The sequence below is a fragment of the Homo sapiens genome, chromosome 3 (genome assembly GCF_000001405.40).
Source record: "Homo sapiens chromosome 3, GRCh38.p14 Primary Assembly".
Lineage (NCBI taxonomy): Eukaryota > Metazoa > Chordata > Mammalia > Primates > Hominidae > Homo > Homo sapiens.
Genome location: NC_000003.12, coordinates 2,143,893 through 2,167,544, shown reverse-complemented (window position 1 = coordinate 2,167,544; position 23,652 = coordinate 2,143,893). Strand labels below are relative to the sequence as shown.

Sequence of the window (23,652 nt, the reverse complement as noted above, 5' to 3'; positions counted from 1 at the left end):
GGTAATAGTTTTGTTAATTTCTTCTTGAATGTTTATGTTTCCAATTCATCATAATGTGTGTCCTTCAGTGCACAAAAGTTTGATGCTATTATACCTTGTTTAATGGTGGATTTTTTGGTAAAAATAGCCCTATGTGCCATCTAATTATTTATTATTTGAAGTGTATTGTAATAATGGTATTGTTACACGTTACCTTTTTATTTTTGGTTGTGGTTGTGATAGGAGGCTGTTATACTTTTCCACATCCATTCATTCCATGAGGTGGCAATCATTTTTGAACCATATGTCCAATCATGCCAAGAGCTGCAGATATAATAGTGAAAAACTTTCCAATTACTTTGTGCCATTTAAAAAAAAAGTCTTCTTTTAAACAGCATGGAATTGGTTTATCCTTCTTAAGCTAATGCAAAAATGTTTTGTAATTTAAGATTTAATTTACCTACTTTAATTGTAACTTGCATATATATTTTTAAATTTATTTTTATTACATCTATGTCTGATGTACACAACATAATATTTTGATATACATATACATAGTGAAATGATTACTACTATCAAACTACATTCTATCACTCATAGTTGTTTGTTTATATTTTCTCGTTTCTTTCTTCCAAATTTTTACTCTACTATCGAAGCTTTCTTTTTCTTATGTGTTATTTTGCATTCTCTAGCCATTAAGGAGCTATTCATCTTATTTGTATTTCACTGTTGGTAATCTTTAAATATATAAGCATATGTAAGTAATGTTTCTCCATCAATCTCAATGACTAAACGGTCTCTAAGAGCTCCCCCTTCAGGAACAAGGCTAGGCATTTACAAGCTTCTAAGTCTTCAGTGATTCCCTTACACTACACAGCATTCACAACATACACACAGCACCTAGATTCTCTTGAAATAAGCTAGAATTTACTTTCAGACAAAAATGATTGCATTTTTGTCCTTGCAGTTGAGGATCCTTTCTTAACCATTTCATTAATATTTCATAACTTACATTATCAATAATAATTTAATTGTAATATATTTTACTGAACTCATTACTCTCAGGTTACCAAATTTGGCTGTCAGGTGACTTGGAGAACTTATTAAAAATACAGACTACTGGGACCTATCTCAGGTTTACACTCTCATAATCTCTCACTTTGGACTCCAGGAATCAGCATTTAAAGTCTCCTTGGCAGAATTCCCTTGCTTGTTATCTTTTCACTTTTTGATAATAATTATTATCAAAAATAATAGATAATAACCAAAAAAAATCCTAACAGGTGTGAGATGAGATTTCATTGTGGTTTTGATTTGCGTTTCCCTGATGAATACTAATGTTGAGCAAGGATGTGGTGAAAACGAAGCCCTTAAACACTGTTGATGGGGATATAAATTGACATTATGCATTATAATGAATATACCATTATGCAAAACAGTAAAGATTCCTCAAAAAGTTAAAAATAGAACAGTCATATGACCCAGCAATTCCACTTCTGGGTATATATCCAAAAGAAATAAAATAGCTCTCTCGAAGAGACAGATGAACTTCCACGTTCATTACAGCATTATTCAAAATAGCCCTGATATTGAAGAAATTGTGGTACACCCATCACAATTGTGGTATATATAAAATATAGCATATAATATTAATAGTAATATAATATTCCACACAGCTGAACATTTTTCAGTCTTAAAAAAAATTCTGCCAGTTGCAACATCAATGAGCCTAGAGGACATTATTATGCAAAGTGAAGTAAGCCAGGCACAGAAAGAAAAATACTGCGTGATCTCACTTATATGTGGAATCCAAAAGAGTTGAACCCATAGAAACAGAAAATAGAATGGTGGTTACCAGGGGGCAGGTGTGGGGGTAACAGGGAGGTTTTGGTCAAAGGGCACAAACTTTGAATAATTTCTGGATACCTAATGAATGAATGATTTCTGGATACCTAATGTACAGCATGGTGAATATAGTTAGTAATAATGTATTGTATACTTGAAATTTACAAAGAGAGTACGTCTTAAGTATTCTCACCACAACAAAAAAAGGTAACTATGTGAGGTGATGAAGATGTTAACTAACTTGATTGTGGTAATCTTGTCACAATGTACACACATGTCAAAATAATCAAGTTGTATACCTTGAATGTAAACAATTTTTATTTTTCAATTATTCTTCAATAAAGCTGGGGAAAGAAAATCTCATTAGGTGGTTTTTGTTTTGTCTTTTTTTTTTTTTAAGATGCAGTCTTGCTCTTGTCACCCAGGCTGGAGTGCAATGGCGCGATCTCAGCTCACTGCAACCTCTGCCTCCTGGGTTCAAGCAATTCTCCTGCCTCAGCCTCTGGAGTAGCTGGGATTACAGGAGCCCGCCATCACACCCAGCTAATTTTTGTATTTTTAGTAGAGATGGGGTTTCACCATGTTGGCCAGGCTGGTCTCGACCTCCTGACCTCAGATGATCCACCTGCTTCAGCCTCCCAAAGTGCTGCGATTACAGGCGGGAGCCACCAGGCCTGGCCACCTTAGGTGATATTAATGCAATCTGCCCAGGGCCAGTCTTGTAGCAGCATTTGTGACCCATATATCTTGCACCCCTTCTCATATTGTGACCTATTTGTGATATATTTTGACTCATTTTCATTTTGGCTATAGTACATCCTTAAGTCTCCTCCTACTACCTCCTTTTGTTTTGTTTTGTTTTTTTTAAACAGTACATTTGCAGAATACTTTGAGTCCTTTCATGTATCAAAACGCACATTTTTCCGTCAAACATGAGCAAACTGTGTCTGGTGAGAGAATACTATGATTGCAACCCTTTTTACTCACAGTTCTGAAAGGAATGTTGCATTGTCCACTAGCATTTTCTGTGGCAGATGAGAAACTGGATAATAGTCAAATTCTCTTTTCCTTGAAGGTAACTAATTGTTTTTCTGTGTCAACTTTTGTATACATTTTCTCTTTACCTTGGAATTCAAAATTCCATCATGGTATGTCTAAAAGTTTTTATTTTCATTAATCTTCACCAGCTTGTAGTGAGGTCATTCAATGTGAAGGCTTGAAGAATTAGGTTTGGCTTAGAGGAAATGGTAATCTGTTAGTTCTCCTCCTTCCTCTCATCTGTTCTCTATTTCTAAAATTCCTATTATTAGTTATGAGATGAGCCCCAAGACCTATCCTATGTGCGTCATCCTCTCTCTTATAAAACCTCTTTTTTACTTACAGTTATGCGAATTTTCTCAGCCTTCCAGTTAATTAATTTGGTCAGTAGCATCCATTCTGATATTTACTATCTCTACTAAAGGGTATACTTTGTTGTTGTTTTTTTTTTCCTCAAGCAATCTCTCTTTCTTCTTTGTTTTAATTTTGCTTTCCTTTTTTTCTTTTTTATTTCAATAGTTGTGGGGGTACAGGTGGTTTCTTGTTACACAGATAGTTCTTTAGTGGTGATTTCTGGGATTTTGGTGCACTCATCACCCAAGCAGTGTACATTGTACCCAACATGTAGTCTTTTATCCCCCATCCACCTCCTACCCTTTCCCCTGAATCCCCAAAGTCCATTTTATCATTGTTATACCTTTGCAGCCTCACAGCTTAGCTCTCTCTTTTAGTTCCTTAAGGAATCTCCATACTGTTTTCCACAGTGGTTGTACTAGTTTACATTCTCACCAGCAGTGTAAAAGTGTTACCTTTTCACCACTTTCAGGCCAATATCTATTATTTTTTGACTTTTTAATAACAGTCATTTTGACTTGTGTGAGATTATATCTCGTTATGGTTTTATTTTGCATTTCCCTGATAACTAGTGATGTGAAGCATTTTTTCATATGTTTATTGGCTGTTTGTGTATCTCCATTTGTGAATTGTCTATTCATGTCCTTTGCCCACTTTTTGATGGGATTATTAGTTTTTTTTTTCTTGAGTTCCTTGCAGATTCTCGATATTTTAGTCCTTTGTCAGATGCATAGTTTGCAAATATTTTCTCCCATTCTGCGGGTTGTCTATTTACTTGCTGACTATTTCTTTTGCTGTGCAGAAGCTTTTTAGTTTAATTAGGTCTCATTTATTTATTTTGGTTTTTCTTACATTTGCTTTTGGGTCCTTAGTCATGAATTCTTTCCCTAAGCCAATATCTACAAGAGTTTTTCTGATGTATCTTCTAGAATTTCTATGGTTTCATGTCTTAGATTTAAGTCTTTGATGAATCTTGAGTTGATTTTTGTATAAGGTGAGAGATGAGGACACAGCTTCATTCTTCTACATGTGGCTTGCCAGTTTTCCCTGCACCATTTATTGAATAAGGTGTCTTTTCCTCACTTTATGCTTTTGTATGCTTTGTTGAAGATCAGTTGGCTATGAGTATTTGGCTTTATTTCTGGGTTCCCTATTCTGTTCCACTGGTTTACTTGGCTATTTTTATACCAGTACCATGCTGATTTGGTAACTATAGCCTTGTAGTATAATTTGAGACAGGGTCTTGTTTTGCTGCTCAGGCTGGGGTGCAGTGGCATGACCTTCGCTCACTGCAACTTCAGCCTCCTGGCTTCAAGCTAGCCTTCCACCTCAGCCTCCAGAGTAGCTGTGACTACACGTGTGCACTACCACACCCAGCTAATTTTTATATATTTTGTAGAGATGGGGTCTCCCTATGTTGCCCAGGCTGGTCACAAACTCCTGGACTCAAGCCACCCACCCGCCTCTGCCTCCCAAAGTGCTGGGACTACAGGCCTGAGCCACCACACCCAGCCCTGTTTTCTTATTGTTTCTTTTATTTGATAAATGTGATATCCTCCTGAGTAGTACAGGAAACTTCCATATCATTATTGTTCTCTCCTATATTCAACTTTAAATTTTCTCCAAACATTCGTGGTTATGGGCTTTGACAAGTAACATGGCCAGCAGAATGGCAACAGCATCTTTCTCCATTCCCTAAATTTGAATGACACATACTATTGAGTCAATAAACAGGTCAGAACAGCTCCCCCACATCTCTTTGCACAATGATAGCTCTGGAGACTCCTCAAGATTTGAGGTAGATGACTGGGGAGCCTTATGGGTTTTCCAGTTGTGGGACACAGTTTTCCCTCCTATATTATTTGATAGGTAGCTGGGAGAAATAAAGATCTCAAAAACAAAACTAAAACAAAACAAAACCTGCTTAAATTGCCACCATGGTCTTACCCCCAAATTTCTTGGCAATAACAGGATTCTGTTATCTTTTTAAAACATGCATGCATGTGCATATATGAGAACATTCATAAGAAATTATTTTTAGTAAATGAATAGAACTCTGAATAAAAACTATTTGATTCTGGATCAGATGGAAACCTCATGTTGATAAACAAAAATGAGTAATTCAAGTACAAACACAGTTGAAATCATAATGCGCTGAAATGAATATAATGCGTATAGGAAAACTACACTAAATTATGTGGTATTTTATTATCATTCACACCTACACTACATTTAGTTTGAAATCTGTATTCTCATTGAAAAAGAATAAAACTAAATTAAAAAATTTAAAGATACAATTTTAACAGACATAAGATCAATACCTTCTGTAAAATGGCAGTGGTTTTACCTTAATTTGGGGATGCAAACATTCTAATCAATCAATTTATGTCAAAGAACGGAGCAGATTATTCCAGGCTTCTTTTAAAAGAGATTAATTGAGTTGACCTAAGTAGTTTATCTGATTACTGTCGTGGAAGAACACTGTGCCCATCAAAACAGCAAGAAACAGGAATTCCTCAACTCTAACATACACAAACCTCACAATTCGTAACTTAACTATACTGGCTCCTAGTATTTGATGTTCTTACTACTTAACATATTTAAAGTATGTCTTCTGTCCTCATCGTACTTAGCGTTCTCTTTTCACCTCTCATTTCAATCGGTCTTTTTCCAGAACTCAGAACTCCTCCGTGCTTTATTTCACCAGGAAAAAAATATGATCATGGACCAGTCTTACTCCAACATTCATGATGACTGGAGTTCATGTCAAAAGTGGAGTCATTCTTGACATCTCTCTCTGCCTCCACTGACACACCAGTCACACACCAGGCTGGTTCCTTGTACCTCTTTGTATTTCTCAGATCTCTCTCCACCTCCACTGCCCCCACTCTATTACAAGCCACCCCGACCCCAAGCAGTTCTCTCTGCTTCCTCTACTTGTTCTTCATGAAGCACTAAAATTATCTTTATAAAAGATCTGGTGATGATATTTTTCTGTGTATAACCTTTCAATAACATTCCATTTATTTTCTTATAATGCAGCCCAGAAAACTTAACATGGCCTAAAAATTAATGTTTCAGCCCCTCCTTCCTTTCCACCCTTATCCTCCAGCATCCCCTTGCTTCAGCCACAATGACTTTCTATTCATCCCTAAAATTTCAATGACTTCTGCTTCCTGTACCTCCTCAGATACCATCCCTTCAAAATAAAAATAATTATACCTTAGGTCATGCCTAGCTAAGACCTACTTGTCCGAGAAGCCTCCATCTTTGACTCCCCTCTTTTACTCACTCATAGCACTTGGTACTCAACTTTAACCACTGAACACAACCATAAGTAAACAACAGTATGATTAGTTATTTAGCTTCTATTCTCCCAACTCCAAACATAAGCCCCAGGCAAGAGGGATTATACCTTCTTGTTCACCCTGTATCCTAGGGATCTAGTAGAGCTTTGTGTACAGAAGGAAGGTGTTCAATACATATTGATTGAATTTATGGACCAAATGTGACGAATGGAAATCAAGGGGAGCTGCAAACTTAATAATACGCACCGTATACATTCCTGAACCATCTGAGAAACAGTCAACAAATGACAACAGATGCCAAGCCCTTGCTGAGGAAGTTTAAGGGACCCTTTCTTTGGTTTGGAAACATTGCTAGAGCTGTGTGATGACACAAACATAGACAGGTGATCAGAGTGATGATTATGAGAGATGCAGCAATAACAGTAACAACTTACTGAGAGCTTACTAGGTGTTAGATGTCACGCAGTTGATGTGGAATCTATCACTTATTCCACATTATAAATAACAGTGAGCAATATGATAATCTTCATTTTAAAATTTTTGAAACTGAGGCTCAGAAAAGTTATTTGACTTGCCAGAAGTCATAGCAAGATAACTAATATAAGGCCATCCAGGACATGGAGTTTTGTCTGACTCTGGATCCTTATACCTCTTAACCAGGATACAAGACTCTCTCCTGATTTTGCCACCAGCTTATGTTTGACCTTGGCCAAGAGACCTCTCCTATTTAGTTCACAATTGCTTTTTCAGTAAAACGATGGTTTTAGTCCAGGTGACCGCCAACCTGCCTTCCACCTCCAGCATTCAAAAGAAAGCATATTTATAGAGTCATAAAAGGATCACAGTGAGACTGACATTCAATGATAAAAAATTTAAAATTATAATTTAGTAACATGTTCTTTCCAGTCTACTTTAGCTTTTCCATAAGCAAATTAGGAAACTATGCATTTAACTAGACTATTATCTCTCAAGCCATTTTATTAATACAGGCATAAGAAATTAGGAAGACAGAGAGGAAACACAAAGCAAAGAAAAAGAATTTGGGTGAGTTTTGGAGTCCAATAACAAGAAAAAAGAAATAGTCATTTTCTAATTTGCAAATTACATAACCAGCCAAAGCAGGTGGTCCAAGGTTAAACAGAAATGAGGGCAAGGTTTGTTAAAGGATTAAACTAAATGTTAAAAAAAAAAAAAGAGCTGTGTCAAATTGACCTTATTATTCAGATTAAAAAATGATTGTGGGACAAACATAATCCATTCAAACATAACTTTAAAAATAAAACTAGATGTGTTAACGGCTGCTTATATATCTCATATTCTATAAATCATCTGCAAAAAAAAATATGGCCCACCTCACACGGTAAGATGCTGCAATAGTCCTCAGGGAAAGCAGTGAAGGGGAATGCTCAAAATGCTTGACAGACAGATAATCCATTTAATATAAAATCTCCAGGGCAGGAAAATGAGATACCTTTCATGGCAACTGTCTCAAAGCCAAACTTCTGATGCCTTTTGTATCCTTTCCCAATGCTCAGAGACCCCTGCAATTCTTTTCCAATATTCAGGTTGAACTGGCTTTTGTGTCACCTTTTGAAAAGCTTGAAAAAGAACCCGATATAGGTCAGAGTAAGTAGATAATTTATGCCTAACAATTTTTTTTCTGTTTTGATATTGTTAAAATATTAAGAAAGTTCATAAGGAAGAGTTTGGGGCACAGATATTGTAAGCTTCAGGGATATGTTGGGGCTTATTATTTTCTTTTACAAATGCAAAAAATACTTAAGAGAGCAATGTGTTCATACTGAAAATGAAAATATTCTGGTCAAAAGTATACAGTATAATTCTGGAGCATCAATCTTACACAACTCTCTCTCAGATCAGATCCTGTATGGTGCTAAGAGAGTCAAGGTGCTCCAGGAAGAAGTTATAGGCCTGCTACAAGAGGTCTGACTTGTTCTGAGCCTTCATTTTCTCCCACTCGCTGCCTCTCGGGATTCCAACTTCATACACTAGACCTCAGAGACTGCAAACTGAAAGCCTGTGAGTCAAATCTGGCTCACAGGTATGTCCTGTCTAGCCCACCAACGATGCTTACACTGACTATGCTTTAAAAAGAATGTTGTATTTGTTGCCAACATTTTTAAAGCTGGAGATTTCACTCTTCCAAAAACAAAACAAACAAAACAAAAAAATGAAGAGTAACAGACTCCATGCTTTTCTGCAGAAATTGAAGATCTAGAAACAATGGGTTCTCTTTCCCAAATGACAAGAGTGAGTTAATGCTCACCAGCAGTGCGTGCTGCATGTTTTCTGGACTTTTTCTATGCAGGCTCAAAAACTCATCTATGCTGTAACTACTCTGATTCTCATATTAAGGAAACCTGCTGCTGTTTATGAATGCTGCCAATGTGGACATATTCACTTCCATGTATCAGTGAGGATTCACTCCATTTAGTCTACGTTCTTTTCAGATGTGGAAGAGCAAACAATAGGAGGACATCCGGCCCAACCATTTTCATCTAAGAGGTAAGCATTTACAATGGTTGTCTTTATTGCAGCAGCTGAATGTGTCCCCCATAATTCTTTTACCAGTGGTTGAGACCACAACCACATTCATATGGTAAGAAATTGTTAAATCAAAGCTTGTCTGTCTTAATTATTAATGAAATATATTTTATGAAACATTGGGTATGTTTGTACTGAAATAATGATGGACAAATAATGAGGGATGGTAGACTTTTAGAAACATATCTAAACTTCTTACATTAATACTTTTGGGGAAAAAATTCGCCCTTTGTAAGTCATTTGTCACAAGTTTCTTTTTTATTTCTGGAACATAAACTTTGATGTGTCACTTTGCCACCCTGTCCTAATTACCAGGGTTTAAAAGCCCCTTCAAGCATTCTCATTTCCCATATATGCAGTATATGCAAAATTAAAGAACATATGTATGAAATCCTGGAAGCTTCTATTAAATTGAATTCAAAAACTAGTCTTTGTAATTTAGGGTTTGAGGCTGAGGCTCCACTCTAATTTCATGACAAATGCAATTGTCCTTCCTAATTTGGGGTTCCTTTAATTGGTTTTGATAGATTTCTGAGAATGATTTTGTGTGTGTGCCAATTTATCCATGTTTCTTAAATGAAAACAATGATTTATTTGATAGCTATGTGTGAAAGATTATTAATTTCTAAGAAAATCCAAACAGAAAATTTTGAAGTCAGGAGCAACATCAAGATAAACTGAAAACATTCATTTGAAACTATAACTTAGTGATGAGAATTTGAAATTGGTATAAAGTGTAAAAGTTACATTTATTGAACACCTCCTCTAGGCCAGTATTGTTTTAGGGCATCTCATAGGACATTTTACTTGATTTTCACAAAAGCACATTTTTGTAGATGAGAAAACACATTCATATCTTAAATACCTTGTCCAAAGTCACCCAGATAGTAACAGTAAAGTGAGATTTTGAGCCCAAAAACTACTCCAAAGTTTTTTTCATTTTTTTCACTTTTATTTTCCTTTAACAGCTTAAGTCTCCATTGACTCCAGGAACTCCTTCCCTAAGCCAGATATCTTTTCCTCAGATTGTTCTGAATAATCCCATACACTTTTGCCAACTCTCTTCTCACTAACCCCGTAAACACATGTACACTGGACTTCCCCACCTGTCTCATTTCTCGTCGGAGTGCACACCTCCTCCCTCTACTTTCATATCGCATATCTTTAAAATCTTTCTCCTCTAAGAAGCCATCACTCATCAATCTCAACCCAGTCTCACATATTATCCACCAGGTCTTATGTAATCTCATTATATTAATGTGTGCTTATTTAATTTATTTTACTTTTAAATATCTTCTTCCATTTTTAAATGTGTAAGACAGAAATTTCAGAACAGGAACCAGAACTTCTCTTTTAGTGAAGATACATTTGACTCAATGACACACATATCTCACAATGAAATCTATTTGGTAAACCAACGAAACGGAAATGCAAGGAGGCAGGCAAAAAGGAAGAAGGTCATTAGGAAAACTGGAAGGAAGAGGTACAGACATGCAGATGAGAAATATTAATGACCCCAAAATGGTTGCCAGAGATAAAATAAGCATCCAAGAGGGTCAGACTTCCCTCTCCCCAAATAGCCAGGAATAGCCCTAGCAATCCATAGCTCTTAGTAATCTCATAAAGAGTGATCGGATCATGGTCTCTTAATACACATCATCCTTCTTCATGGTATCTTTCAACTGCAGAACTACCAAAACTGGGGCCAGAAGATTCACATATTCTTATCCTAACTCTGCCCAGAGTTAACGCTGTCTGTGATAAATGACTTGCCTTCTCTCTGCCTCCATTTCCTCATCTCCAAAACAAACATTTACCGAGGGTCTACAACGGATCTTACAGACTTATGCAAACAAATGCCTCTCCAAACCGGGCTTCATATACAGTTGTATTTCTTATTTTTCCGATTTATCTCTTGATGTCCCACATGCGTAATGGACAGGAAGTCCGCCGAGGACATCCACACCAGGGAGTGGACAGGAATCCGATCACTGCCATTGCTTACTGCTGCCACACGGTGGCGCTGCTTGAGGACGCTGCTGAGGAAGGCGCGGGACCATTGCTGCAATGAACTCTGCTGTATACAGGTTTATGCACAGACCCCACATGGCCTATGAAGCGCAATTTCTCTTCTGAATGCTAAGCTCATCGAAGACGCCCAGCACTTGGGCTTCCAAGGTTCCCATGGTTCCGTTTTTTGAATCCCACAAACAGCCACCTCCTAAGTCCCCAGCTGGTTATGGAAGCACTGAGGCAGGAACGGCTCTGGCACCTACCAGCTCTCCAAAACTTCATTTCTTTTCCCTCAAAGATACCAAGCATTTTTGCTCTTCACCCTGATTACACCCCCTTCTGAAGCAGTGAGGCCACTGGCCTGCCCTCAGGGGAAAACCTCATATAAATGATTCTAAGGGGAGTGATTCTGAAATCTCTTACTGGAGAAGAGAAAAAGCAACCCGAGCTAACCACCCCCTCATCTATGAAACAATTTATGAACTATGTTAAATATTTTGATGGAAAAGCAAAGGTGCTATGACAACACAGTCCAGGGAATCCTCCTGTAGGCTGGAGGGTCAAGAAGGTGGTGCTTTCTGAGGAAATGACATCTATTCTGAGATCTTAAGGATGAACAAGAATCATTTGGAGGTATTTCACGTAAAACGCACCACAGTTCAAAGACTCTGGTGCAGACAAGAGCTAGCTGTGTTGGAGGAAGCGAAGACCAATGTGGTTTCACAGTAGAGAGCACGGGGAGAGTGAGAAGATGAACCCAACTTGGAGGTCCAAATCTCATGGTGCTTGGATAGCATGGTCACCAAGACCCTTCCAGATCACTGTTTTAGGATTCAGTGCCCACTGGCGACATAGCTGAAACACCTAATTCACTTAAAACACTTAATTCACTTAAAAACAGTTTTCAGTCAAGTCAGGCAAAAGAAAAACAGCTGTGTTCGCAAAAGAAAAAGAGCTGTGTTCTGTAATACATAGATTGTTGTAGGTGCCCTCTGTTCTTATCCCCAATCTGCTGAGGAGCTGCTCCTGGGGGACTCCAATGTCTCCGATCTCACCAAAGTCACCTCCCAGGTACGGATAATCTGTGTTCACATGTCCTGTGGCACCAGGCGTCCCACACCCCTGTAAGAGACAGAGCCTCTGCAATCAGAAGGTAAGAGGTCAGGTAACTGAGTCAAATTTTCATTGCTGCACAGGAATTAATTAATGCAGGCAGGTAAGCACTGGAATAGAGAGAGACAGAGATGGGAAAATTAGGTTTAAAATTAGCTTTCTGAACATAATGAGAAGATTATGTGTAAGGTTTACTGTATTATGATCCCAAGCTTTTTCTGGAAACAAATCTTTCAGGGGAAAAATAGTTAAATTAAAATGGCAAGATGCCAAACTCTAGGACACAAAACACTTAACAAATTTTGAAAAGGTATCTGAAGGAGATGGATGATGGGAGAGGTTTTTTGTTACTGTCAGATTTAGGACACTGGTGTTTTTCTGCCATCTATCAAATCTATTTACCATGAGCAGCACTTTTTTCTCTGGGCAGGCCCATACAGATAGAGATTCTAGTGATTTCATTTCCTCCGTATTTCTGGCACTTTTGTGGATCACACAGAGGATGATTAAATGGCTTTTCTGTATTGTTTGTTAAATTCCACTCTTCCCACGAATTGGGAGTGGTTCCCATGGGAACCTCTGAACGTGGAATAAGAGCAAAACAGATCACAATCATTCAAGTCTCTACTGAAAGCACACTTGGCAAAATACTTTATTCACTATTTGTGTAAAACCAATTCTCTATACATATAAATCTGAGATCTAAGGAAGTAAAAGTCTGTTTTGCTGTTGTTGTTTAATCCCTATCCCAACTACAGATCATAGAACTTATTCCACTTTTTAAAAAAGTTATTTTGCACACAGACTCAGACAAGGATATTATGCCAGAAACCATCTCTAATGTCACTTGAGCGAAATACGCCAGTGTAGACTGAATGATCCAGGATGGAACAAAATATAATTTGGAAAGGAGAAAAATTACCATATCCACTTTTATTTTTTTTTTTTTTGAGACAGTGTCACTTTGTCACCCAGGCTGGAGTGCAGGCACGACTGGCTCACTGCAATCTCCACCTCCTGGGTTCAAGCAATTCTCCTGCCTCAGCTTCATGAGTAGCTGGGGATTACAGGCGCCCACCACCACATCCGGTTAATGTTTGTATTTTTTGTAGAGACGGGGTTTCACCATGTTGGCCATGCTGGTCTCGAACTCTTGACCTCAAGTGATCCTCCTGCCTTGGCCTCCTAAATTGCTGGGATTACAGGCGTCAGACACCATGCCTGGCCAGTCATATCCATTTTATCATAGACAACAGGAATTATTTAAAAAAATAACAGAATGTAAATTTTAATAAAGTAACCAATATATATTGCTTCAAACCAGTATGATTTATATAAGATAAGGTAGAGCTAAAGAGAAGTTACAAAACATAATTCTCATATACATTTGTGATTTTTCATTTGATCACAAACACTTTTTTAAGTTCCTTAAGCTAAAGATCCCACACTGCTGTCTACCTAATACCATTACCCCATGTGAAATTTACACATGACTTTCCACATTTCCAGGGCTACAGCTGAAGCCAACACACTCTCTCACCTAGGAAACAGAAATAGCCTTATAACTGTTCTGCTCCCTTTCACCCCACGCCATTCTCTATACAGCAGTCAGAGCAATATCTAAAAGACAAATAGGTCATTATTTAAACGCTTCAACTACCTCCCCGCTCAGAATAAAGTACACCCTTACCATGGTTTCGCGCTCCTTTTGTGAGGAGGCCATTGTTTCATTTCATTTCTGTCTCCTTCCCACAAACTCCTCAAAAAGTTACTTTGCTCTCTATCTCCAGTTGCTCTCCGCCTATATTCGTGTTTAAAATCACTCTAATCAGGCTTGCACCTCCAACACTCCCATAAAACTGTATTTATCAAAGTCAACAATTCTCCCCAGGTTACCACATCCAATGACCAATTCTTGGCAGTTGCCTTTGACATCATTTGTCACTTCCTCCTCCTAGATATTGTTTTCATCCATTTCATTTGTAGGGCATTTTCCTTCCTCCTCATGGGTTGCTCCTCTTCTTCCAGACATTGTAATGATGTAGTCATGCAATCTTCGGTCACCCTCTCTACTACATTCACTCCCATGGTGATCTCATTTGCCTTGAGGTTTTAAATACCATTGGTATGCCAATGACGCTTACATTTTTGTCTCCAACCAAGACTTCTTCTCAACTCCAGACTCCTATATCCAACTCCCTATTTCACTTCACTCCCTGGATTCTCTATTACTGAGCTATTGCCACAAAACTTCTGCATAACAGACCACCTCCAAACTCATTGGCTTACAACAGTAGCTATTAATTCTCTTGATTCTGTAGGGTCTGGTAATCTAAAGCAGGCTCCATGGGCAGCCCTCCTTCCAAATGTGGGATGAGCTGGGCTTAGCTGGGGTGGCTCTGTGTCACTTGCATTCACTTGGGGTCCAGGCTAAGAGGGCAACGTCTGCCCCAGGAAAGCTCTTCTCATGAAAATGACTGCATCACAAGAGGCTGAGCCCGATCTGGGAGTACATTTCCGTACCCTGCTTTTGTCTCACATCGACATGACCCACCGGCCAGAGCCAGTCGTACTGCCAAGCCTAACTCAGGAAGGCAGATACAGAACTACGCCCTGGGAACGGTGGGTGTCTCCTGCTTTACACAGCCACTCCTCACCTCATCCAATCCTGTTCCAGCACTAGTCTTTCCCATCTCAATCTTCTATTTTTTCAGGACAAAACACTTGGAGTCACATCCTGGATTCTTCTTTCTCTCATACTTCACTTCTGAAGCCTTCTAAATATATTCAGAATCTGACAAAGTCCCATCATCTCTACCACGGCCCTGTAAGAGCAACCAGAGTGTGGCTCATGGCTTATTCCATTATTCTGCTAACAAGTCACCCTGCTCCTAACTTTGCTCCACCCCTCCCCAGTCTAGACCCCAAAGCTACCTACCAGACGGCACCTCGTTTCAATCAAACGGAAGTCCTGACAGTGGTTTACAAAGACTGGCCTGATGCCACCTCTTATCACTTCTCTAACCTCTTCTCCGCCTCACTCATCTCACTCACTCTGTTCCAGTTACAGAGGCTTTCTTGAGGCACTTGGAACAAGCTGGGCCTACTGCTACCTTACGGCTTTTGTACTAGCTATTACCTGTGCCTGGTAATTCCTTCTCCCACATACCCATCTGACAAACTTGCCCCGTCTCCTTCAATACTTTGTTTAAATGCCACCTGCTCTATGAGACCTACCTTGACCTCAGTGTTTTACACTGTAGCCCACCTATTCCTGCACTCTTACCTCCCTGCATACAAACATTTTTTTAAAACACTGATCAGTTAATATTGTACATAATTTACTTAGAAAAAATCATGCATTATTGTCTTAGCCTGTTGCTGTTAACAAAATAAACTGAAACTGGGTAATTCATAAAGAAAAGAAATTTATTTCTTACAGTTATGAAGGCTGAGAAGTCCAAAATAAAGAAGCCACATCTGGTGAGGGCCTTCTTGCTGGTGGGGACTCTCAGCAGGGTCCCAAGGTGGCACAGGCTGTCACATGACTGAGTGTCCTAGCTCAGGTCTGTTTTCCTCTTCTTATAAAGCCACCAGTCCCACTTTCATGACAACTCATTAGTCCATTAGTCATTAATCCATTAATCCATGAGTGGATGAATCCATTCTTGAGGGCAGATCCCTCAGGGTCTAATCACCTCTTAAAGGCCCCAATTCTCAATTCTGCTACACTGGGGATTAAATTTCGACATGAGTTTTGGAGAGGACAACTATGCAAAACATTGCAAATATGTTGGCTGACGTATCCCAAGCACCTTGGATAGCACCTGGAACATAGAAGGCTACAGAAATGTGTTCAGTCATTTATTCCCTTTCTCAGCCAGACTGAGCTTGTTTTGGCCCCAGAGCCCTGGCCCATGCTGTTCCTTCTGCCTGGATACTTCTTTGTTCAGAGAGTCTCTTAGCTGCCTCCCTGTCAGCATTCAAATCTCTGTCCACATACCACTTCCTCATAGATGCTTCGCCCTTCTTGCCTCTTAGTCCCATTTTCCTATTCATCATTTTCTTCATCATATTTCCACATAGTCAAAAATATTTACTTGTTGGCCAGGCGAAGTGGCTCATGCCTGTAATCCCGGCACTTTGGGAGGCTGAGGTGGGCGGATCACTTGAGGTCAGGAGTTCCAGACCAGCCCGGCCAACATGGCAAAACCCCATCTCTACTAAAAATACAAAAATTAGCTGTCTAAAAAAATGTATTACTTGCTTACTAGCTATTGTCTTTCTTCTCCTGTGGGGTCCATGAGAACAAAGAATTTGTCCATTTTGCTCATCCCTGTATCCTCAACTTACTTACGATAGTTCCCGGTGGACCAGTAGGAACTCAAAAAGTATCTTCTAAATAAATAAACATCCTCCCCCAAAGAGGAAGCCAACAAATTTTGTCCTCTTAATGTGTAAGAAAAATGGTAATTGCATTGAAGGGAGGGCAAGCTTTAAGAAATTAAACAGAGGGAACATGAGTTTTGTGGTTAAACAGAATGTTCTCCAGTTCAGTCATCCTTAAAAGCTGCAGGAGAGTGCCCTGCTCTTCCAAGATAACATGCTTGAGAATGACTTTAAGAGTAAAACCAAGAAAAATAATCTTCTGGTGCTCATTTTAGGTTGACTAATTTCCTCAATAAGAAAACATGCATAAAATGAACAAGCAAGTTATCTGATGTTTCAAATGATTAAGTGCAAGCTGAGATAGCTTTGAAGTAGCTGCTACAGAATCCCCAGGGGAGGATCTGTAGACAAATAACCAGCTTGTCCCGTAGAAATAGATTTCTCCAACAAGGGGGAAGAAAATAGAAAAACATATGTCCTACAACTGGGTGAAGATACTTATAGTTTCAAATATCCAAAAAAATTGCAAGGAAAAAAAGAGATATTAATTTTCCAAGAATGTGCAGAAGTCTACGTTAAGAAATAAGTTGCTTTAGGATATATTACAATTAATAAACAACTAATATTTAGCTGACTTTTTTTTACTTATTAAAAACACTGTTATAGATGCTTTATATGGATTTAACAGTGTTCTATGAACTAAATGATCTATCCCTATATTAGAAATGATGAAACAGAGGCAGAAATAGTTTAGGCAACTTTGCTCTAGAGCATATGCTCTTAACCTCTGTGGTAAATGCTTCTTAAAGGATAACATCAGTTTACTGAATGCTCACAATGTGTCAAGTATGGTGCTAAGCATCTTGTAGAATATTAGATTTTAAATGTATATGAATAAAACTAATCATTACATTTAAACTCTAACCTTGCATATATTCAGCTTACTTGATATAATACAGAAAAAAAAAAAAAAGCTATGCCCACCCCATTCCCTGTTGAATTTGCATTAAAACGCAAAGGTCTGCCTGACAACCTTTTTGGTTATTTCACCAGCATTGGTCAGGCCTCTGGTTATGTTGTCAGTATGAGGAAGTGAAAATACACAAGTCAACTACACAACCTGCAACTACACAACCTGTAGTTGCACAACCTACAACTATACAACCTGGTTATTTCCTTTATACTAAACATTAAATTAATTTTATATTACAGGGAAAAGTCATTGCATCAAATTATATAAATGTAAACATTACTATTCTTAAAAACCACAAGCTTCATAGTATTTATAAATACAGATTAAAAAATTAGACATGACCTAGAGTAGTATCTACATAGCATGCTGTTTTAAGAACATCAAATAGTGTTACAGAATGTCAAGCAATATTTCCTGTGGCCTGAGGGAATGCAATTTTCTAACTATGAAGGTCTCCATCTTCAGCATATAAACCTGAAGGTGCTTTTAGGGGACAGCAGTAAAAATGTGAGCTAGTGGGGCCTCTGAAGTATGCATTCATCTCAAATTGGTAATTTATGGTCAGTAACATATTTCTCAACGTATCCCTCTACAGACTAAAAGTTGCCATTGAACTTACCCTCATATAAATGTGCTCCGCATGAAAACAGACAAATGGAAGTGTGTACCCCTTAGAACAAAATAAAAACCACTGCGTATGGTCACGGGATTTCTACAATATTAGCAGTCTTTGCACTACTCCACTACTTGGCCAAATCTGAAGGCCACCAGAAGGCAGACGGAGCATTTCTGAAATGATGTAATAACCTAATAGCTGACCCAAAAGCTTCACACACTGGGAAATTTGCCTGATTCACTGATATCACACACATACACAAAAACTCTTAGAATCAACAAAATATATAAAACTCGATACAATTAAAGAAAGTTTATAATACTTCAGTGTTTGAAATTGCAGTAAGAGAATAGATTTACTCCTTAGACACCACCCCCCCAACACACACACACACACACACACACACACAGTCACGGTAGTAAGGGGATGTAATGTTCAATTGACATCCAAAGGTAATTCCGCTAAATGTTAAAAAGTATTAAATATACATTTCACAGGAAATTACATTTATCCTTGACTTTTGCTTGTCTCTGATCCACATTATTAACACATCATAATACAATATAAATGCCACATATTGGAACTGTCCCAAGGCATCTAGTTACATGGAAGGAGGGACGCATTAACATTCACCGACTCATTTAATTTCGTCATCTGATAATTATTAAGTCCATTTATCAAGCCTCATAAGATTTACACAAACTGGGTAATTTTACCCTACTGTCACTGCCCAAGAAACAGTGTATATTTAAAACCAGAAGTTAGAAAATTACAGTTAGACCTACTAATATTTTTTTCTTTTCTTTTCTTTTTTTTTTTGAGACAGGGGCTCGCTCTGTCACCCAGGCTGAAGTGCAGTGGTGCAATCTCAGCTCACTGCAACCTGTGTCTTCTGAGCTCAAGTGATTTCTACCCCGGCCATCTGAGTAGCTGGGACTACAGGCACACACCACCAAGGCTAATTTTTTTTTTTTATTTTCTGTAGAGACAGGGTACCCCTATAATGCCCAGGCTACTCTCAAACTCCTGGGCTCAAGCGACCCTCTCACCTAGGCCTCCCAAAGTGCTGAGATTATGGGAGGGAGCCACTGCGCCCGGCCTTGCTGTTTTTCTGAATAATCTTATCTCAATGTGTCCAACTTCCACAGCCCAAGAAGCAGCATATGTTTAAGGTGAAATCTGCAGAATTGCAATTAGTCCTACTACTATTTTCTGAATTATCATTAGCGATAAAGTCCCACAACCAATCAACCATATGGGAGCCATGAAATCATTCCAACTTGAGACACACTATCATGCCTTAAGAAGAAAAAAGGCACTAGGAGCCAGCTTCAGAGAAATCAACATCAATAGAAGTAGTGTGGGAGTGAAAGAGAATCAATTAGAAGAGTCACGATGAAACAGACAAGGAATTTGAAAACAGGAGTGGAGTTTTTAATGAGGACAGATGGACCAGGAGAAAAGACTTCTAGGTAGAGGATACAACATAAGCAAATACACAGAGCCTGGAAATTGTGAGATCCATTTGGAAAAAGACAGGCCATCTTGTCTGATCAAAGCAGTAAGTATGAAATACAGAGAGGACACTGAAAGGAAGCACATCTCCAAAGGTAGACTAGAATTGTGTCATAAAGGCCTCAATTCAGGCTGAGGAGCCTGTGACTAATATGAAAGATAATGGTGAGCCAGTGAAGCCTGTTGAGATGGGAAATAATGGGATTGAAGCACTGACTGAGAAAGACCTCACTGGCATCTCTACAAAAAATGGGCAAGGAAGGTTAAAGAGTGGAGGACGGGAAAGAGGGGGAAATATGTGTTGGAAGATGTTACAATAGGTGGTCATAAAAAATAATTAACAAATAAAAGTCATTTCCATTGATGATACATAAAAATTAACGAGCCCCTAGCTTCTGGTCTGGCTTCCAGAGTACTTAATGTTGGTCTGTTAAAATTACTGCAAATTTTTTTTTTTGCTATTTTTAATTTGTTTTTATTTTTTAGTCCAAGATATGAAGAACACACATAGTTAAAATCAGAAATAGCAAGAAAATCCAAACTAAAGGGCTGGAATGCTCCTCTGATGCATGCTGAGGGTAGAAAAATAATAACAATTAAAAAATAAAGTGCTGGAATGCTTAAACAGTTCGACATTTTCTATAATACTATGGAATGAGGCCAGGCACAGTGGCTCACTCCTATAATCCCAGCACTTTGGGAGGCCAAGGTGGGTGGATCACGAGGTCAAGAGATCAAGACCATCCTGGCCAATATGATGAAACCCCATCTCTACTAAAAATACAAAAATTAGCTGGGCATGGTGGTGAGTGCCTATAGTTCCAGCTACTCGGGAGGCTGAGGCAGGAGAATCGCTTGAACCCAGGAGGCAGAGGTTGCAATGAGCCAAGATCACGACTGCACTCCAGCCTGGGCGACAGAGTGAGCCTCCGTCTCAAAAAAACAAAACAAAACAACAACAAAAAACTATGGAATGAAGTGTGAGCTCTAAAGACAAAAGAAACTGATATTTACTAATTATCTACTAGGTACCAGGCTTTACAACTCCCCTGAGAAGTACTGATAATCACCATTTTATAGGTAAGGTGACATATAACTGACACATATCAGGGTAGGGACCAGACCTCTCTGTCTGAAGAGTCATATCATCTTTCTTTCCCACCACACTACATTTGAACAAATGATAAACTGCAGGCTACAACCATTAGGGAGTTATGAAATCAATACTGTGAGTCATGACCAGTATCTATTTTACAATGGGATAAAATGTAAAATATCAAGTGAGCACTGATTATAATAAGGGTAACTAATATTTTATGAAGTATCAATTTCATATATATGTGTTTATATGTGTGCATTTACTGGAACAATATAAAATGTATTTCTTATTTTAGATAATAGCAAAATAAATTGGAAAGCTACTACATAGATACTATATGCATAGATATTACTATAGATAGTAATATCTATCTACAACATAGAGATATTACTCAGGTTACCTTTAGAAATAAATTTTACTCTAATCAAAAATACTTCAATTTGTAGTAGCTAAAAAAAAAAATATTAACAGCAGTTACTCTAGGTTTAGCATATGATGACTGAATTAATAGAAGTCAATTAAATTATTCACTAAAACTACAGTAAATAAAAGTCAATAATTAACATCAATAGAAGTCTTAGGTTCTCATATAGCCCTCAAATATAGATAAAAAATATCATTTATTTTAAAAATAAAATAAATTGAAATAATGTAGCAATTTTACCTGTTTTCCAAATGATTTCTAAATTTATGTAACTATTTTCTTAAAATGGTTAATTATCAATTCTCAGATAAAAGTATTAAAGATTAAAAAACAAAACTAATGCCAACTTCATTTAAAAAAAAAAAACTAAGAATGATTCCAGTGTAGTAATTACAGCATCCTGAGTTTGTTTTCTAGTCTATTATGCTAGCCCATATGACCTTTGTCAAATTACTTAAGCCTTCTAATCCCCAAATATTCTCATATTAAAAGTGGGAATAATAATAACATATTTCATAAGGTAGATAAGGAGAAACCCTACGTAAAGTGCTGGGCAAGATTGCCAAGCTCTTAGAAAATGTTCAACAAATAGGATTGAAATTTCATTTCATGTATAATGCTTGGCATGATTAATTTATGCCAAAAGCCAATTGTCACTGCCAGTAAATTTCATAATTAAACTGAATGTGAGGTGGAATCATAAAAGCTAAAGTTCTGAGGATATTTCATCTTATTCCTGATTTTTCCCAATCTGCCGGTCCTTTCCTATCTGTCTTCTTGCTCTCTGTGAACTTAAAAAAATTAAAAGCTCGATCTCACCTTGCCACACTATTATGTTTTATATGATTATTTCCAAGCCTCTTACTAGCAAAGCCTTGAATCTCAGTCCTGAAGGATTAGTGGTAGCACAGGGAGTGGAGAGAGATGCAATGTGACAAGGCCAGAGTTGCTAGGCCTGCAACATGACCAACTGTAGCTTATAATTCCCTAAATGGGTTCAGATCACTGTGGTATGATAAATGTGTGGACTGCTTTATAAAGAATCATTTAACAGTGATTTATTTCTGGGGGGGAACCAAATGCCACCAGAACTAATTTGATGAAGTGACAAGAGAACACAGACTTTAGTTGTGGGTCACAAACTCTCTTCATCTTTCTGCTACTATATTTCCAAATGAGCAAAGGAATTGTGAAGTTGAAAACCACTCTCTTTCATAAGAGAAAATTATGAATAAGAAGCCCAGAGCACCAGAGATAACCTCCACCTGAACATCTACTCTGTTGAGACCACCTCCCTCCAAAATTGTTTTCATCAGCAGTGCTTTCCTAGGGGAGCGAAAATGATGTATATCATGGTACAAAACCCTTATTGTGGTAACTGATCTGATCTTCCCTGCTCGTGTATTCCTGTTTATGTAAGTACAATAAATCCAATATGAACAGGACAGCTTCGATGTTGAGAAATCCCTCCTGAGAAATTCTGGGCAGATTTTTCTCTTAAGAAGCTTAGAGCTGATATGGCTTTGACAGATACAATTCCAATATTTAATTTAATTCAATAAACTTAATTGATGACTTGCTATGTGCTGGGCACTGGTTTATATTTGAGTTCTCAATTCCAGGTTTAAGAATCATTATTAACATTAGGATGTGGGGTCAGAGGGATGAGTATAATACAAGTCATATCCTCGGTAATCCGTGTCATTGTGTAGGCAGAGTTGAATTAACTACTATAGTTAGGCAAGGGTCACATGTAACCCTCTCAATGATCCTTTGCCACCCATCCCTGAACCCCTTGATCTGTGTGTCCAGCCAAGGTTGATGATTCTTCCACAATAAGAACAATTCTTCACTCTAGTGCTTGTCTTTCTCTTTTAGAAACTCTATGAAAATCCCGTAAGGTAGAACCAACAAAGTCTAAAACACTATCAGTGGGAGTGATTTATCATGGCAACTGTCGACTTAAAACTTTCAAGTAAAGAAACGCTTGTTTTACTGACCTACAAGTAGGAGAATAATTTCAAGGCTGGAAGCTAGAACCTTCAGAATCCAGAAAAATCCCCAGGCCTGATATGTAAGCTGTAGCCAAAGAAACAGATCACAGGCCACACTAAAATTGTGAACTTCATGGCAATTGCTCCAGTCCCACCTGCTCCAGATACCTAAATCATGAAGGCTTACTAGGTAGGTATGCTTACCTCCTACACCCTCTATTTCTTTCTCACCTGCAGAAGAAAGGGATGGAGCTTTGCTCATGTCTAATTCTACTTCATCTTCTTAGTTCAAAATATTGCTGTAAACCCAGAAAGGAGGCTCAGAATCTTTACTTCCCCTCTCACTATTTGCTGTTACAGTTCAAGTATGTGTATCTGAGTAGCCCTAAAAAGTAACCAAAATATTATGGTAAATCAATTTCACCAA

General features: G+C 38.1%; 1 protein-coding gene and 1 long non-coding RNA gene across 29 annotated transcripts in view; one reads left to right on the top strand and one right to left on the bottom strand.

Annotated features, from left to right (window-relative positions):
* The window catches only part of CNTN4 (contactin 4), a 959,094-nt gene that overhangs the window by 890,415 nt on the left and 45,027 nt on the right, over positions 1-23,652 (bottom strand). For 8 of the 28 annotated variants that reach the window (XM_047447535.1, XM_047447518.1, XM_047447523.1 and 5 more), the window contains one exon: positions 194-23,610. The exons of 14 other annotated variants lie outside the window; for them this stretch is intronic. The gene's annotated coding sequence lies outside the window, so the exon portion shown is untranslated. The remainder of the gene's footprint in view (positions 1-193; positions 23,611-23,652) is intronic. 6 more of the 28 variants (XM_047447522.1, XM_047447524.1, XM_047447520.1 and 3 more) reach the window with 5 other exon arrangements.
* The window catches only part of CNTN4-AS2 (CNTN4 antisense RNA 2), a 33,833-nt gene continuing 33,484 nt past the window's right edge, over positions 23,304-23,652 (top strand). The window contains exon 1 of the long non-coding RNA NR_046555.1: positions 23,304-23,415. This is a non-coding gene — a long non-coding RNA (CNTN4 antisense RNA 2). The remainder of the gene's footprint in view (positions 23,416-23,652) is intronic.